A 19,412-nucleotide genomic window follows, 5' to 3' on the forward strand; every position below is an offset into this window, starting at 1 on the left:
CAACCTCTGCTTCCCGGGTTCAAGCAATTCTCCTGCCTCAGCCTCCCGAGTAGCTGGGATTACAGGTGTCTGCCACCACGCTCAGCTAATTTTTTATATTTTTAGTAGAGGCAGAATTTCACTATGTTGGTCAGGCTGGTCTCAAACTCCCAACCTTGTGATCTGCCTGCCTCGGCCTTCCAAAGTGCTGGAATTACAGGCATGAGCCACTGCACCCGGACTGGAAAATCTATTTCAATACGCAATTTAATTGTGTACAACTAGAGACTCAATTCCTGTTAAAACTGTTGTTTTTAATTCCAGATACTTTAGGAAGTTATCAAATTACATATTTTAAAAAGTGGAAAAAAATTATTAGCTTATGTAGAATATATCTCAGCAACTTTTTTTTTTAACTTTATAAACAAAACTCATCCTTGCTGAAAGAGGACAATAGACACTTCTGCTCTTTTGCAGAGAAATGTCAAAGTGAAATTTAAATCTTAAACGGCATGGCGGAGGGGAATCACAGGAACTGTCTGGCAGATTAATCAGAACTATTTCATATGTATTCCAGAAATCTAGGATATTGTCATTATTGCATTAAAATGTCCATAATTATCTCAGTTATGTCCAGGAACTAACAACCCATTAAGAGCCTCTCCCTCAGTAGAGAATTTCATTAAAAAAAATGAACTTCTCACCATTGTTAATAGGTTTCTTCCAGATTTACCACCTCCTAGACAAAATTTATTTTATTAACATGACTTGAAATAACATCAGACAGACATATTTAGCTAATTATGCATTGCCTATTTATTTTGACATGTGTTGGTTTTCTCTTTTAGTGATAAAATTGTGGACTCCTCATCCACATTTTAATAAGGCTTTTCTCCAATGTGACCTCATCCACATTATAAAGGCAACATGATAGAGTAGGAAGTATTGCCTAGTGAAATGCAATCTAGTCCTGGATTTGCCATTCTATGAACCAAGAAAATCACTTAATCTGACTCAGTTTCCTCATCTGTAAAATAAAATATTACATAATCCTCCTGACATTAGTCATTAGCACAAAATTAAACATAATGTCTATCAAAACTGTGAAGCACTATAAAATGCAAATGAAAGGTGATAAACTCTAGAAATCCTAAGCATTTTATTATACTTTGTCTATATTTTAACTATAGGCCATTTAAAGTTGCTCTCATGATCTATAACATGAATAGAGGAAAAAGAGCTACTTGACTCCAAAGTAAGTATCTTTACATATGAAGTTGGCTGACTTTGTCTTTAAATATTTAAAAACATTATTCAAATAAGAGTATTCTTTGGATGTCTTTTTCTGTCAAGTAGTCTAAACTTATGTGCAGCCACCATCTATTCTAACAGTATCTTCATGACACTAATGTTTCAATTACTTCAGTTAGTTGATTTAGTTAATAAAAATAAAATAGCTGACCAATTTAATCCAATCAGTCATTTTGATATAAACTATTGGTTCTCAAACTCCTGTGGACTATTTCACAAGGCAGGATATCCTGTCTTTCTTTCTTTTCCCTGCCACTGTGAAAAAACAGCTTACTAGCTACTAGTTTTTTTTTTTTTTCTGACAGATTCTTGCTCTGTTGCCCAGGCTGGAGTACAGTGGTGTAATATTGGCTCTCTGCAACCTCCACCTCCCAGGTTCAAGCGATTCTCCTGCCTCAGCCTCCTGAGTGGGTGGGATTACAGACGTGCACCACCACGCCCAGCTAACTGTCGTATTTTTAGTAGAGACGGGGTTTTGCCATGTTGGCCAGGCTGATCTCAAACTCCTGACCTCATGTGATCCACCCACCTCAGCCTCCCAAAGTGCTGGGATTACAGGTGTAAGCCACCACATCTGGCTGCTACTATTTTTTAATTGTGGTAAATTATACATAACATAAAATTCATAATGTTGATCTTTTTTAAGACAGGGTGTTGCTCTGTCATCCAGGCTGGAGTGCAGTGGTGTGATCATAGCTCACTATAACTTTGAACTTCTGGGCTCATGCAATCCTCCAGCCTCAGCCTCCCGAGTAGCTGGAATGACACGTGTGCACCACACGCCTGGCTCCACCATTTTTAAGTTTACAATTCAGTGGCATTAAGCACATTTACAATGTTGTACAACCATCACCATTTTTTTATTTTCAGAATTTTTAATCATCCCAAGCTGAAAGTCTACACCCATTAAACATTAACTCCCCTTCCCCCTTCCCCCACATACCCTGATAACCATTCCACTTTCTGTTTCTATGAATGTTACTACTTTAAATACCTTATATAAATGGAGTCATATTTGTGCTTTTGCGTCTGGCTTATCTCACTTAGCATAATGTTTCAAGGTTCATCCATGTTGTGGCATGTATTAGAATTTACTCAAATGAATTAACTCACGTCCACACAAAAACCTGCACATGAATAGCAGCTTTATTCATAATTGCCACAATGTGGAAGCAATCAAGATGTCCTTCAGTAGAATGAATACACAAACCATGGTACATCTAGACAATGAAGTATTATTTGGTGTAAAAAATGAGCTATTAAGCCACAAAAAGACATGGAGGAAACTTATATGCATATTGCTAACTGGAAAAGGCTCCATACTGTATAATTCCAGTTACATGACATTCTGGAAATAGCAAGACTAGGGAGATACTGAAGAGATCAGCGATTGCCAGTGGTTTGGGGAAAGGGAGGGACCAACAGGCAGAGCACGGGGCACTGTTAGAGCAGTGGGACTGTTCTGTATGGTTCTGTAAGGGCGGATACATGTCATCATGCATTTGTCAAAACTCACAGAGCACACCCTACTGCGAGTGAACCCTAATGTCAACTACAGGCTTTGGGTGATAATGATGCATGGATGTTGGCTCATCATTAGTAACAAATGCACCACTCTCGTGCAAGATGCTGATGGAAAGGGAGGCAGGAGGCTTATGGTAACTCTACTTCCTGTGTAATTTTGCTGTGAACCTAAAACTGTTCTAAAAAATAAAGTCTATTAGACAATGTTTACTTTTTGGAAATATCCTTTTGGTATTGTGCAAATAAATACTTGGTTGGCTATGGAGAATATAGAAAAAAATTTTTAAAAAGAGCAGATAAACACTGAAGCCAAGCTTAAAATTTCCTACATAAGTACTAACAGGCAAACATCTGTTTTTCAGGCAAAAAAGCAGATAATAAAGTTATATGTGTACCATAATCCCAATCTTGTGTAACAAACAAAAGAAACAGATATAGAAAAACACTGGAAGGGATATACACCAAATTGTTCACACTGATTTTATATACAGGGTGGAAGGATTATGGATATTTTCTTTTCATTTCAATGTTTTAATTTTTTCCAATTAAATTTCTTGCACGAAAAATAAAAGCAAAAAGATCATGCAGTTGTCTTACTGTTATTTTTTCATCTTGTTAGTGTGTAAGCTTGGTGAAGACAGGAACAATAACTTGCACATCTGTTTCTGCATTAGGGATATGTACACGCCATACTGGACAGGGCTTTACAGTTCTCAGAGTGTTCTCACCTACTGTGGGGCAGGTAACACGGTGGAGCAGGCTGATGGTACAGTAGCCCCCCAATATACACACATTGGATTCCCCATAACCTGTGAGTAGTAGGGTGCACTTATATATGTATCTATACACACACACACACACATATAGTTTTTTAAAAGAGTAAATATTACAAGACAAAAGATGCCATTAGGTTAAGGATCTTGAAAAGAGTAGAAAGAGCTGTGAAGAGGGAGGCTGAGACTGAGGTGATGCAGCCACAGCCCAGCAATGCTGGGGCATGCACTGGAGGCTGGAAGGAGCAAAGACCGGATTCTCCCCCAGGTTCCTAGAGGGAGTGAGGCCCTGCTCAATTTTGGACTTCTGGTCTCCCCAACGGCAAGAAAATCAGTTTCTGCTGTCTGAAGTGGCCAAATTTGAGGTAATTAGTTATGGCAGCATCAATAAACTAACACAGCAGGCATTCCCATTTTACTAATGGCCAATCTCAAACATAATTCTGTGCTTAATCGTCTTACAGCTATTAGGAGGCAGAGAAAGAATTCAAACCCAGATCTTTGACATCCAAGTGCAGAGCAGTATTCTTTCTATTGCTCAATATATTCTAGAGTATTCATTCAGTTGAGTGGTTAATTCTAACAGCTAAATGAGAAAAATCATACAAAACAATTTTTGTGGGAATTCTGAAAACAAGACAATTTGTTGAATTATTTTTAAAATTATTTATTTTTAAATGTATTTTAAATGTTAGCCTGAGCATGTGCTATAAGACAGAAAAAAATCTAAGAAAATGTGGCACCATCTCTGATATGCTTCAAAATTCAAGTGATACGTTTCTATGTCCAATTTCTATTAACTTCTTATTTGTTCATGGACTAATTTCCCTTTGACTTTGCTAATTTGTTTAAAATCTTGATTTGATTAACTTGACCAAATTAATCTCTTTTCTAACCTTAAGATTCTAAAATCAGAGTTAGAGTGAGATGCCCAACCACTTAAAAGATAACTTATTCTTTACCTGGAATAAATGAATATTTTGCTCGAAATCCCAGTCCTTCAAGCTCTTCATCAGAACTAAACTTAATCCACATGAATCTCCCTGTTGATCTAATTAATGGAGGGCTTTTCACGCCACAGTAACGATCTATAAGAGGAGAGAAACCAAATGGCCCATCTCGAACTTCCAAGTGATCAAACCGACACTCAAATGATGGTTCTATATAATAATGTTCATCAAAGGTCAACTCTATTCTTTGACGTGGAGCAGCTAGAAAATAAGAGTAAGCAAATCAGGACAACACAAACAAGAAAGAATATAAATGTATTGACACAAATGAGAAAAGCAGAATAACTGTTCTGCTAACTGCTTCATAGACAAAGGTCTTAGTGAGAATTGCTATACAAGTCATGATAAATGTATCTTACATTAAAAATAATGCTACTCTGTAGAACTATAGTAATCTTTTCCATTGGCATATGCTATCTACTAAATTAAATATTTTTGAGTGATTCAAACTGAAGAGTCAAGAAGCTAATACTTAGTTCAAGATACAACGTACCACAATACACAGAAAAATAAACAGAAGAAATGAAAAGAACTCACTTATGTGGACATAAATTTGAATTAAGCCTTATAAGGGATGCCAGTAAGTTTAAGTTTCTTATCAGAGAAAGAAGTTTTTCATACATACTAATGTACGTAGTTGAATTATACTTTGGGAGATTCAAACTTCCCCTAACATTTCTGCTAGTATCTTGTTAATGTATTCAATATGCAGAAATACTTATCATTACTACAGTTTAATTCAAATACATGTTTAAATTTCATTCAAACTGGTTTACATAGGTCATTTTACCAACATATTTAGTTTTACAATAAAGTAAAAATTCATCCAATAAAAGAAATCGTTCAAATACCTTCCAAAATGTAGATACACTCCTTGTTTGGTGGATATGAGTCAGGATAATTTGGCGAAGCAAAATGACCTCCATTGCTGGTTCGAACCCAAATGCCACACTGGGTTGCAGGAATATGCTTGATTCCAATATTTTGTCCATCTTAGGGAAAAACGGCATTTAAAACACTCATTACAGCAAAAGAGAATCATTCTTCTCTTTCCCCCACCACTTTCCAAACGATTGCTCACTCTATGCTACATATATAAAATTTTCTAAGAACCACTGTCAAATTTAGCACAATAAATTGAGTACAGAAGTGAAAGAGAGGGAGGGAAAACTTGCTGGGAGAGGACAAGTTTGCCGTGTAAGAGAACAGGGAAATAAAGGGCTTATAGGCACTTAACAAAGGGCAAAACCATATGGGGGAATCTGCTAAGTCAGTAAGATGCAATACAATTCAGTTCTAACCTAAAAATAAAGGCATCCCAGGAGCTGATCTCTGATATGGGGCCCTCAAACTTAGTTTAACACAACAGTAAAAGATGATTCAAAGGTTAGAGGGATTTTAGTTGAAGACTGTAGACTAAATACATGCACGTAGCTGAGCTCCTTCCTCAAACTCCACTTAAACAGCAATAAAAGGATTTTTAAAAGGGTATAAACTCTTAAACAGAGAGGGGTAGATATAGCAGTAACAACTGGCAGTACCAGGAAGTGGGGTTGGGGGTGGTGAGTGAAATTGGGCTTTTTAAAAACACGAGGCTAGTTAAAAGTCTGTTTAGAATGAGTTGGATTTTCAGTACCCTTTCCTCCTCCACAAATCTAGCAGCTCTACAACCACATCAGAACACTAAAGGTGATTTCTTTGGAGAAGGTAAAACAACAGGGTTACTGGACTAGGGGACACCAGGAACAGTTGAGAACGAAAACAGGGAGACGAGTGAATGTTAGCACATGTCCCAGCCTTCGTTTCCTGCTTAACTCCCACAAAGGCCTCCTGGTCAGATATTGAGCCTTTAAGCAGGAAAAGAAAAGATTCTTCTCTGGGAGTCGAAACAGCCCCTAGGAAAGGCTTGATGCAGATGCAGGAGTTCCCCAGTGTCAGATCTGTCAACAGTGAGAGCCAGTAACTGATCCTTGCCCACACCTGCAGACAGTTAACGATCAGTTTTTAGTGCCCCTCTTAAAATATGAGCCCTCAAGGATCACCAGACATTGGAGGAAAATCTCTAATATAAATAAATAAATAAATAATAATAATAATAAAACTGGAGAAAAGCAACTCTGAGGAGATAAAGACTATGCAAGAAAAATATTTAAAAACCACCACCACCACAAAACAATCATTTAATATCCTGAGAAAGAAAAGCAAGTAAATCTATAAGACAAAAACAAAGATACTGTACAAACAATATTATATTCAGAAAACAGAACCAAAAAAGCTTCCAAAAACAGAAGAGATGAAAAAATCAGCAGAACATTTAGAGCAGAGTTCAGCAAACTATGACCCTGGGCCAAACATGACCTGGAGCCTGCTGTAAATAAAGTTTTACTGGAATATACCCATCCCCATCATTTGTGTGCTTTTGTTCCAGGACAGAAGAGTTGAGGAATTTGAAGAGTTGCTTCAGAGACTGTAGGACCTACAGCGCCTTAAACACTTACGATCTGACCCTTTACAGAAAAAGTGTTCTAACTCCTGGTTTAGAGGTAAAGTTGAGGAAGTCTCAGCGAATGTGGAGCAAAAAGATGGAAAACAGAAGAGCCAGAAACAAAAACCAAGAGGGCCATAACCAAGTAAAATAATAGAATTCCTGAAAAGGCAAAAGAGAGAAAATGGAGGAAAGGGAATTTTAAAAATTAAAACAGAAAAAAAAAAAAAAGATTTCCTAAAGATAAAATTCAGCTGAATGAGTGACTTAATGTAAATCCTGAATACTGAGTTAACCAGAATTATGACAGAACTGTGTTGAGAAGGGTGCTACAAATGCAAGGTACGAGAACACTCAAATATGGATGGGGTGGACGGTAGGTGCGTGAAAGAGCTAAATTCTCATCTTCCACGGTGAAAAATCATTATCTAATTTATAAAACTGAAATAACCAAGAAGTAGCAATACAGCATGTTATTTAGAGAAAGGAAGGGAAATACCAAAAGAATCAGCTAAGAGTGATTATTTCCATGGAGCAGGAAGTTAAGTAGGGCAAGATGGGGAACTCATTTTTCCTAATTAACTTTTTAGGAATGCTTTGATTTTTATCATGTGTATGTATTACTTAGATGAAAATAAAAAACAAACAACATTACACTGGAAATGTACTAAATTCAGACATAAAAATCTGGCTAAAAAAAATCACACTAGCTAATCATCAAACATAAATCAAGACAAAAGAACAGAACCAAAGGACTTTGAATAAGATATTAATTGAAGTGTTTCATTTGTTTAAATTAGAAAAAGGGACTTTTATTTTTGCTTAGTGATAAAATATAAATCTCCTTTAATTTTTGGACATAATCCACAGTATGCTAGGAGCTACTAGTGATGTCAATTTTAAAAATTTATCAGGGCAAGACTTTATGCTGACAATTTAGTTAACTGCAGCTAAACTCAGTTAAATTGAGGCTGATGGGTTGACAGAAAGCCTTAGGTCACTGGAACACCCCAAAGGGATTATGAAAATAGTACCCAAAAGTTGCAATCCTTTCAAATAAGCCAGTCCATTGTCTTAAACATGCAGTAAGTCACCAATGTAAGTACTTTACCTTGGGTTTTTTGGGCCACGGCAATCCCTTCCACTACCAGTACTGTTATTAACAACACTAGAGAAATAACAGAGAAGAAAAGTTATGAAATTGAATCTATACTACATTTTACTAAGTCAATAAATAAAATTGGATGACAAAAAAAGATTAACTAAAATCACTATTTATTACTCAAAATTCACTCTCAAGATCTTTAAGCATTAAATGTTATGTTCTGATTTGCTACCTAACCCTTAAGATAACCCAAGAAAAGACAAGTGGTTTTGTACTCATTTATAAGCATTTAATAATACATGGCATTGAAAGCATTTTTCAACTTAATAGTTTTGTTTAAAAAAAAAAAAACACTTGTTTTTTGCAACAGACCTTGCTCATCCTAACTATTCCTCTATTTACTGTAGTCCATCTCAAAGTTTACATGCAGTATAGCTGGCTCTGCAGTGTGCTATGGCAGTGAAAGTTCAATTAGATTATATCTGTTTTCTGAGAACATTCTTAATCAAGACAGAAGTAAGGGGGCAGCAGTCTCCTAGAAATCAATTCAAACTGTCTTATCATTGTGCAGTACTATGCTGTGCTCTGTGCTACAAAGGCTAGCCATATTTAACACTGAAGCTTTTTTCCATGTTGAACATTTCTGAGACCCAATCAACAACATATTGAATTGTTTTGTGTATGTGGTTTGAAGATTTAAAGAAACATTTTCATGGATGCTGCACTCTCCCTTTCAAAGGAAACCACACTGCCAGCCTGTCCCGAACTACTGCGTGAACTGGAGTTATTCATTCAGTGAATAGGCACTTACAGAGTATCCACTGAAGAGCGGGCACCAAGGATGCACAGGTGTGGAGAGAGAAATCGAGCAAAATGGTTAAGAGTATGGACTTAAGGAGTTTCATGAATCTAGGCTAGGGTTCAAGTTTTGCCTTCTACCAGCTGTGAGGCCTTTTCAGCTCAGTTTACTTATTTGTAAAATGGAGATGACGTATAAATAGGTCAACCTCATTGGTGGTTGTGAAGATTAAATGAGATAATGTATATAGTATTTTTATGTGCCAGACATTCTGCTAAATAAATGATGGATATTAGGACAAACCAGCATCCACAAGGAATCAATGTATTGTTGAATCTACAATACAAGGTGAAACGGAGTTTAACAGGAGATATGCAGAAGGCATAATGGAAGCAGAAGGTCCATTCTGCTGGGGGTTAAGGGAAATAGAATGAGGAAAACTCCCAAAAAAGAAGGCATACTCTGGTTGGACCTTACAGTCCTTGAGCCCAGGAAAAGGAGAAAGAAACAGCTTAAATAAGAACATGGAGGGCAGGGCGCTGGTGGCTCATGCCTGCAAATCCCAACACCTTGGGAGGCTGAGGCGAGAGGATTGCTTGAGCCCAGGAGTTCCAGAGGCCCTGTCTCTACGGAAAAAAAAAAAAAAATTAGCCAGGCATGGTGGCATGTGCCTATAGTCCTAGCCACTTGGGAGGCTGAGGCAGGAGGATCACTAGTGCCCAGGAGTTAAGAGGCTGCAGTGAGCCATGATCGTGCCACTGCACTACTGCCTGGGCGAAAGAGTGAGACCATGCCTCAATAACATAAAGTAACATAAAATAACATAACATAAAATGACATAACATAAAATAAAATAAAATAAAATAAAATAAAATAAAATAAAATAAAATAAAATAAAATAAAAACATGGAGGCATGAGCTCTAACCTACAGCAGGTTTTAGGGAACTCTGAGTAATACAGTGTGGTTGGCAAGTGGAAGGCTACAGCAGTATAGTAGGTTAGAGAAAAGTTGGGTGAGATCTGATTGTAACAAGTTTTGAATGGCATGCTAAAAAGTGTGGACTTCTAACTATAATGAGAAGCCCTTGTAGGTTTTTAAACAAGTGTATGACATTATCACTTCTGTGTTTTAGACCAATAATCCTAATGGTTGTGTGGGGTCTATACTTTTAATGAGAAGAGAGAAGATTAGGAAGGAAAGGTGATCATGTTTGCATTACCATCTTTGAAGCAGAGTGGTAGCAGTGGAAAGGGAAAGGAGGAGAAACTAATGACATGGTTCAGGTGTAGAGTCAAGTGCAACTTACAGGACGTGAGGGGTGAGGGAGGTGGAGGCACTGGAGTCTGCTAGTGCAAGTGGTTGGTAGACAGTTACCACTGTTCACTCAATAGCACGTACTGGGTGTCTACTACCAAAGTCACCAACGTAGAAATGGTTAAGAGGTAGCTCTTGTTATTCAGTTCGTATCTTAAAATCTAATTCTTTGACCTCTTCATCCTTGGTTTCTTGCATCCTTGCTGACCTCTGTGTCTCCTCTGTCTTTTCTCAATAACGTTAATTTCCCCCTTCCCTTTTTTTGGTTGATGGTAGTGTTGAAGATCTCACGTTATGCTGAGATCTTGAACTCTTCACATCTTTACACTGGATCTGATTAGAAGAATGGAGTTTTGAAACATTTTTTAATACAGAAGATTTATGATCAAAAAGAAAAGTCAGGTAATAGTAGGTATTTGATAATTCAGCAAATAACCCAACCATTTGTGTCAATTTATCTCATTAGTAGACACTATCTCCCCAGGCATATCATTCAGATCATATGCCACTGGTCAATATTTCGTGCGCAGTATACCATTCCTCCTTAATCACAGGTGTAACTATTTACCAGTTTGACATTTACAAATCCATCTATAAGCAAATAACCACACAAAGCCAGCAGACAGGGCATGTAAGAGGCCAATAAACTGAAGGCAAGACAGCAACGGCAACTATGGCAAAGGGATGAACTGTGCCAGCACAATTACGGTATACAATGACCAATAAAAATGTGCTTGTATAAAATAACTGCTTTATGAAATTTGCACAGAATACACAAGTAAGGCAGAACAATCATACTGAAAATAAAGTTGCAAGGCCAAATAGCCTATTATATTCTTTTCAACTTTATTTAGAGGGCTGCACAGTTTTCTTTTTTTCTCAAGTAATTACTAGCTATTCACAACTCAATCGACCAAATGAGCTGTGCCACTAAATATAAAAACGACGTATAAAGAATAGGGCGAATCTGCACAGCAATTAGGGATAGAAAGATGTACTGATACAGTTTTTGGTAATACAGTTGTGACTATTAATCCATTCTAAATTCTGTATCATTATAAACACAGTTTCCTGAGTTGTATAACAAGGTCTTTGTACACTGCTTGAGTTATAATCAGGCTGAGATATTAAAACAAATTCCATTAATGCTAAACCCTGCAATTATTTAGCACATGAAGCAGTTCTGTGGTTCTTTGTTCTGTCTTTATTCCCAATCTAGGTGCCACTGTTTCCTCTTACCAAAAGGATCAATTATATCTCAAATACAGGAAGACCTCACACTTTGAATTCAATGATAATGTATATAGGAAGGCGCTAATTCTATAAGGCAGAAATCTACACAAAAATAATTCTAAACTCTTTAACCATGCAATTTGATTGTACAGAGAACTGCTTGTGATTTGATGCTTGAAAAAGGTAATGTCCACCATTTATGATGTTACTCCTGGTTCTAGAGTTGAATTTAGTCTTATTTAGTCAGACCTGTGTACAGATCTGACCTAAAATGAAGTCACTCAGATGATAAAAGACAGGTGCTATTCAGGCTGTTAAACAATCCTCAAAGCCACTCCCTTTATTCCTCCTCTTTTTACCCTGAATCACTGTCATTTTAGCTCTAAGCAGACAATTCTGTTCCTAGGCCTTCCAATTTTAAGGCCTACTTTCCACTGTAAAAAATAAAAAAAAAAAGGTCAAATTTATTCTTTTCACTATTACTTAATAGTGGCAATTCTAGTGAATGCAATAAATACTGGAAAGAAGACAAAATTATTATTTATAGATTTCAATGTTATTGAAAACCTAAAAACCTCAAGAGAATTATTTGAAAAATTATTACACCTATTAAGGGAAGAAAGTAAAACTAAAATAAATAAACAATAAATATACTGAATAAAACAGAGCAGTAACATGTTTCTGAGCAGTAAAATAATGCTGCAAAGATAATGAGTCTTTCCAATAGGCCATACATTTAATATTTTAATCAAACTCTTAGTGGGTCCTGTTTTTGGACTTAACAAAACGTTTCTGATGCTCATCTTGAAGACTTTGTTATACTGGCCAAAGAAAATTTAGAAATCACATAGAATAAATAAAAACAATATATGATATATTTATTGTAAAGCTACAGTAATTAAAAAATGTAGCAATGACATAGGAAGAAACAGATGATCTGTTAAATACATGCAGGAACCCATTGTCTAACAGGTAGTGAGTCACTTCCTGGTGGCAATGAACCAAACAGACAAGGTCCTTATTCTCCAGCACCTTACAGATAACAAAATGGAAAAAAATTAAAAGCTCAGAAATAGATATATATATCCAAGAATTAATTTTTATTTATTGACTGATTGAGACAGTCTCACTCTGTCGCCTATGCTGGAGTGCAGTGGCGTGATTTTGGCTCACTTAACCTCTGCTTCTGGGTTCAAGCAATTCTCGTACCTCAGTTTCCTGAGTAGCTGGGACTACAGGCATGCGCCACCACGGCCAGCTCATTTTTTCTATTTTAGTAGAGACGGGGTTTCACTGTGTTGGCCAGGCTGGTCTCAAACTCCTGGCCTCAAATGATCTGCCCGCCTCAGCCTCCCAAAGTGCTGAGATTACAGGCATGAGTCACCACACCCAGCCCCAAGAATTTATTATGATATACATGGTATTTGAAATCCTTGGTGAAAGGATGGATTTAATAAATGGTTCTGGGATAACATATTAATTCTTTGAAATAAAAATAGATCTCGCCTTCAAGCTAAAAACAAAAAATAAATACTAGATTGGGAAAAAAAAGGTGAATTATGTATATATTTTGAGGTGAAGAGCACCTTCATTTACTAACGACAGACACATAAATAAAAACTAATAATAAATGGGGGAAAAAAGATTAGACCATCATAAAAATGTGCCAAAACCCAAAAATTCAGCCTTACAAACATACAAACATACATACATATATACATGTACAGATTCTAGTGTTGGTCAGGCTATAGGAAACTGACATACTCATATAATGCCACTGGATTACAAACTGGCACAACTTTTTGGAGGTTAATCTGGTAGAATATATTAAGGCTCAAAAATGTGCAAATCCCACCAGCATTTCTACTTCCAGGTGTGGGAACTGAATCACTGTGACCGTGGTCCTCAAACTTTAATGTGCATCATAATCACCTTGGGTTTATTAACTCACAGATGGGAGTACTTTCAGAGACTCTGATCCACTGGGTCTGAGGCAGGGCTTGAGAATCTGCCTTTTAACAAATTCTCTAGGGATGCAGAAGCTGCTGGAGCTGGGACCACACTGTGAGTACCACTGCAACAGGAGCATGGCAGATTACTGAAAGCAACAGTGAGAGGTGGCCTTTTCCCTCCTTTGGTAGTGGCAGGAGACATGTTTGGACCAATATGGATTGGGCAGGGCAGGGGTGGGCGAAAAGGAGTTGAGTCGATTTTGGAAACGTTGAACTTGAGGTGAAGGCTCTACTATCTATTCTTATAAGGGCTCCAACAAATACTTCTTGTTTCTGAACATCTGCACTTGCCAGGGACCTTGGACCTCTTTGCTTCCATGAAAGTACATTTTCTAAAACCTGCTTTCTCCAGGAACCCTTTCCAGATTAATTTTACTTGACTGCATTCAGACTTTTCACTTCTGATCATTCAACAGCTCTCCATCTGTTTTTTAATTTTTTTGTTCTTATACTGATTTTGCACACTTCTATGTTAGCATTAGGTTTGGCATGAGTAACAGAAATACCTAAACTAACAGTTTAAAACAAGATAGAAATACATTGCTCTGTCATGCGAACAAGCTGGACATAGGGAGTCAAGCATCAGAGTGAAGGCTCTATAAATACCAGGACCTGGGTTCCTTCTGTCTCACTACCCAGCTGTGAGAGGCTCATTTCCAAGGTCACCCTATGGTCCAGTATGAGGCTGGAGTGCCAGCTATTCTATCTTCATTATAGCTCCCATGTCTGCATTCTAGTTATCAAGAATGATGACTTGATAAAGGGCATTCTCTCTTTCTTTAAAAACACTTGCCCAGGGCCAGGCGCGGTGACTCACGCCTGTAATCCCAGCACTTTGCGAGGCTGAGGTGGGCGGGTCATGAGGTCAGAAGTTCAAGACCAGCCTGAACAATATGGTGAAACCCCGTCTCTAATAAAAATACAAAAATTAGCCGGGCATGGTGGCACACGCCTGTAGTCCCAGCTACTGGGGAGGCTGAGGCAGGAGAATCGCTTGAACCTGGGAGGCAGAGGTTGTGGTGCGCCAAGATCGTGCCACTGCACTCCAGCCTGGGTGACAGAGCAAGACTCCATCTCAAACAAAACAAAACAAAAACACTTGCCCATAATCTACAATGATTTCAAAATAAAAGTTTAAACAACAAAAACAACAATTCCCCTAAGTTGCACACATCATTTTCTACTTATATCTAACTGGCTAGACTTAGTCACATGGTCACCTAAACCAACAGGAAACTGGTAAATAGTCTTCATTTTGGGGAACTGTGCGCTCAGTTAAATTCAGAGAATTACTGACAAATAGTTAAATGGACATTTCTAGACAACTGGAAGTTTCTGCCACAGTCCCTATAGTGTATTATGTACACAGCAGCCAGTGACCTTTTCAAAATACAAATCAGATCACATCACAGCCTTGCTTAAAATCTTCCAGTAGAGTCCCATTATAGTTAGAACAACTCTGTGCCCCTTACTCTGACTTCGGAGGTACTATGTGACCTGGAGCCTGCGTGTCTCTCTGGCCTTCCGAGCGCTCTCTACTAGAACACAGGCCGCCTTCCCATCACTCAAAACACATCAAGCTAATTCTTGCCTCAGGAACCAGCTGTGCCTTCGGCCTAGAATCTCTTTGGCTGATTCCTTCCTGTTGTTCAGGTCTTGTGAGGCTTTCCCAATTTCTAAATAAGCGCTACATTTTCTCCTTCATTTTGCTTTACTTCATTATTATATTACCTGGTATTTTGAGTCTTGTTGGTTGTCTGTCTCTTCTCACTAGAAAGAAGGGCCTTGTCTGTCTGATTCACTGATGCATCTCCACAGCCTAAAAGACTGTCTGGCCTCAACAGTATTCAATACAGACACGATGAACACATGGGGGTGACTGAGCGCGACTCCAGTGCATCTTCTTTGTAACCGCAAACACATAGCACAGTAACTGACAGGCACACATCTTGGATGAACAAACAGTAGCCACACATGTGACCTTGCTTTTTTAAATGCGAGCACAAATCAGGGGATGGGAAAAGAACTGAGATTCCCCCCCACCCTCCTGAGATACCCTGCCACCACTGTTATTTTCCTCAAGCTGGCTCAATTTACCTTTGTTAGTAATTAAGTGTGTCTCTTTCTACATCTTCCTGTGTTAAGCAACTCAGTGGTAAACATAAAGCTTTTAAAATCCAACACAGAGAACCACCTACCTGGTCTCTCTGCTCATTACCATTTCCTATAATGACAGCAGAACAGAGTTCAATTAGAGTCCACATACTATTTGACATGGCAGTCACTTGTTTTTGATAAACTATGTTCCAAAGAACAAAAAAAGTACCCAAATTTAATCAAACTCAATCATACTTTACTAGTTAAGAACAAAGATGGATGGTGAACTTTGGGATCACTCCAGCCTACATATGCTAATGACATGCCAATCACTTTAGTAAGAAAGAGTAACTCTATAGCAGAAGTGCTTTCTCTTTCCTGCAGAATGTGACAAACTCCTCCTTAGTCGAGCTGATCTGAGATGGCGCTTTTGTAAGCTGTATTTTAATTACACATCAGTCCTCCTGACTGTACAGTGACTACCATCACCTTCTAACATGATCAGGTCATATTTGAAAGACTACTTGGTATCTTCTAGTGCTGTAATTTCCAATGTTACTCCAGGCATATTTAAACCAACATGTCTTAATGTCATTTTGATTAGAAAGGACTGAACTTTCAGATTAGTATACCCTGTAATTTTGGAAGCAATATAACAAACCCGTTGAAGTGTCAGTTCTTGGAGCCACCCTGGTGTTTGAGGTGACTGAGAGGGCAAGGCCTCCCACCAATCACAGCAACTCTGTTCTGTTGTCCTTTTTCCTTTTTTTTTCAAGTGCTTCCTCACAAAAGTTCCTCTGAAGTTTGGAAACCATTGGATTAGACCACCTCTTAAGATGCTCCTTTCCAACTCAAAGATCATAATAATTTCAATCTCCAGTGCCTCAGGGAGACGTATTTCTAAGTATAAATAATTATTCTACAGGAGCGTAAGTTGAAAAATGATAGGAGATTGTGCTGGATGGGTGGTACCCCAAGAGAAGGAGGTAGTCTATTGTTTTAAAATTTCAGATATGAACTTTATTTCTAGTCTATCATTTTTCTATCTTTTCTAAAAAGGACTGAAAATGGCTTTGATTTCAACTTGTTTTGTCATGCAGGGTTTTTCCTAAATAGTGATTTTAATTTCAAAATGAAAGATAAACCAGATTGCAGTTGAGGATTTACTACAAAAAAACCATTATTTAATAAGACTTTTCAATTGACAGTGTTAAAACAGTTTTTCCCAACCCCTGGAAGGAAAAGCCAAAAAGTTGATTTTTAATAAGGCTTTAGTATTAAAGGACAAGTTTTTCAGTACCACACTTATTTCTGTATAACTAGTTTATAGTCCTGGGTGAAATGTAAGAATGAAAAACGAGTTAATACTTGCACCGTCTCAGACAAGATTTTTAAATACAGTGCCAAGGAATATTTTTGCTGTTACATTACAAATTTAACCAGTTTCTACAGCTTGAAATATTGCTGAGTCGAACAGATTCTCCTGAAGCAAGTGTGCAGAATAAGAACAAAAAATGGATTTATAATCCTCATGTAATATTTTCATGAGACTATAATGCTTAGTTAACCTTGACAGAAGATTAACTCGAATTCTGTGAGGCCTAGAGTGATCACAGCTAAAAGTGAATTTTTTAGTTTCAACAACATAGGAAAGGTTTAAAAGCCTAGTAAGGTTATTCTTTTGTCTTAATGGCTGAAAGTAAAACAAGAATAATCAGTGGCATCTTAAAGAACTAAAATTACTTTCTACTTAAAATCTCACACACTCATTATGGCTGATTTATTTTAGTAGAAACTGACCATAATATTTCAAACAAGGCTTCTGTGGGTAATATCCACAATTATGTAAATGTTAAATAGCTGCTTCAGATAAGAACCTCTTTGATGTTAAAGCAATTCACTTTATAGGATAAAAGGAAAACTTCTTCATGCCTTGGGGCACACAATGAGTAGTTTGTAATGGGAAAGGCCAGTATCTTTTTAAAGGCAACTTTTTAAAATTAAAATATTGATTTTTAAATAAATTATACATGCGTTTGGTAAAAAAAAAAAACAAAAACAAAATCAAGTGATACAAATGGGTGTGCAGTGAAACCAGTCTTCCCTTCATTCCTGTCTTTTAATCCCCTAGATTTCCGTATTAGAATCAACTACTGTTAACAATTTATTGAATCTTTCCAGACCAGTTATTGGCATTTACAAGTTGATACCACAGACGACTTTAAAAATAACTTGCTTTCTCTCTAGGAAGCCGCCACCAATAGCAGCAACAACAATAATAATTCAGCTTGAGCTTTAAAAATACTCCAGCATGTAAAAATAGTGTAGGCTAACACTGAAAAAAGAAAAGCCAGACACTATATTGTTTTCACCGTAGCTCTGCCATCACCAGAATCCTTTCCTGAAAGGTACAACACTCAACGCTTCACCACGATGGCCAGAGAGGGCAGTGTGCACCCACGGGAAAGGCAAAGGCAGAAACGCTGCAAATCCCTTCACCATTGGAGGAGGCGCTACCAGCCCCTACCCTATCCAGCTCGATTTTATCAAGTTCTGCAGGTAAAGCGGTGTGACAGATCTACGCGATTTCATCCGGGGGTGCTCTCGGATGCACGGTCAGTAGCATGCTGACAACCTTACCGTAGTGAGGGCGCAATCCGACAACGGCAGAAAATTCAGATAAGCAACACGATCAGAAATCCTAGTGTGCATACGGTTTATCACGAAAGAGTAAAAACATTCCTTTCCCAGGAATGACTGTAAAAATTAGGAGTTAGAGATATGAAAGCCACAGGATGAATTTCAGAGTTGTTTTCAATTGTAATAAAGAAATCACTACGGATTTACGGTTTGTGAAATATTCATCAGCTAGAAAGTCCTAGGTTACCTTAGTACAAGCTGTAGATACGTTTACAGTGGGGTAGTTAAACGTTTCGAATTACTGAAATCTCAATTACGAATTTAGGAATATGTGGAGAGTAGACAATGTGTCCAATTAAAATCAAAAGCAAAATTACACTGAACTTTCTAATAAAACAAATTTGAAAAAAGTGCTGTTAGGGAGCAGGAAAAAAGTCACTCTACAAATATTAAGATACAGTGCTGAGTTATACATAACACCGTTAATAATGCCTCAGCCGTACCCTCGAAATTTTTAAAAAAAGAACATGTTACGACATTACAAACACGTCAGCTTTCAATTTAAATCAGCAGGGGGAAAAAGGGAAGTCCTTTACTGAGTGGTGGTGCTGTTTTCCCTCTGGAAATTGAAAAGACGATTTATTCAGTCCGAGTTTCAGGAGCAACTTTGTATCCCAATCCTAATTATCTATGTATATAAATTTTCATCTAAATTACCACCTCCTGGGAAATGCAAAGCCGGTGGAGTAGGTTTTAGAGCTCTGTGCTCTGGACAAGCCAACTGTTTTAATTCCCAGTACAACAAATTAGTAAGAACCGAACACCAGCGGCGGGGAATTCTGAGACCTCTGGCGGAGCGCGAGGAGCGCCGCGTCCCGGGAAGCACCCGAGCAGCAGCGCTCCCCGGGGGCCGGGACAAGCCGGGTCCGCGGCGCCCGCGCGCCGCCCCCGGAGCCCGCAGTGGTGCCGCAGCCTCCGTGGCCGCAGCAGGTGGGACCCGGCTGGCCCAGCAGGCCCCGTTCCCCGCCGCGAGGTGCAGGCGCCGCGGGGCTATTCGAAAACCACTGCACGACGTCACGGCCGCGGCTTTTATTGTTCTCGTGGAATTACTTTTTGCCATCACATCTG

General features: G+C 38.1%; 1 protein-coding gene across 7 annotated transcripts in view, besides 3 other annotated features; it reads right to left on the reverse strand.

Annotated features, from left to right (window-relative positions):
* Positions 1-19,412, reverse strand: part of NETO2 (neuropilin and tolloid like 2) — a 66,243-nt gene that overhangs the window by 46,073 nt on the left and 758 nt on the right. For 6 of the 7 annotated variants that reach the window (XM_006721291.2, NM_001201477.2, XM_006721289.2 and 3 more), the window contains exons 2-4: positions 8,194-8,250; positions 5,449-5,589; positions 4,550-4,798 (exon numbers count right to left, since the gene is read on the reverse strand). In XM_006721291.2, coding sequence (XP_006721354.1) covers positions 4,550-4,798; positions 5,449-5,589; positions 8,194-8,250 — 447 coding nt within the window. Of the gene's footprint in view, positions 1-4,549; positions 4,799-5,448; positions 5,590-8,193; positions 8,251-10,294; positions 10,461-19,412 lie in introns of those variants that run through there. The other variant, XM_017023740.2, reaches the window with a different exon arrangement.
* Positions 18,174-18,263: a silencer, noted in NCBI's record as "silent region_7446". NCBI's record gives its function as "represses an Ori minimal core promoter by ATAC-STARR-seq in GM12878 lymphoblastoid cells {active_cell/tissue: GM12878}" and the evidence as "EXISTENCE:reporter gene assay evidence [ECO:0000049][PMID:35858748]".
* Positions 18,274-18,323: a silencer, noted in NCBI's record as "silent region_7447". NCBI's record gives its function as "represses an Ori minimal core promoter by ATAC-STARR-seq in GM12878 lymphoblastoid cells {active_cell/tissue: GM12878}" and the evidence as "EXISTENCE:reporter gene assay evidence [ECO:0000049][PMID:35858748]".
* Positions 19,151-19,300: a silencer, noted in NCBI's record as "silent region_7448". NCBI's record gives its function as "represses an Ori minimal core promoter by ATAC-STARR-seq in GM12878 lymphoblastoid cells {active_cell/tissue: GM12878}" and the evidence as "EXISTENCE:reporter gene assay evidence [ECO:0000049][PMID:35858748]".

This window comes from Homo sapiens, chromosome 16, assembly GCF_000001405.40.
Source record: "Homo sapiens chromosome 16, GRCh38.p14 Primary Assembly".
Taxonomy (NCBI): Eukaryota; Metazoa; Chordata; class Mammalia; order Primates; family Hominidae; genus Homo; species Homo sapiens.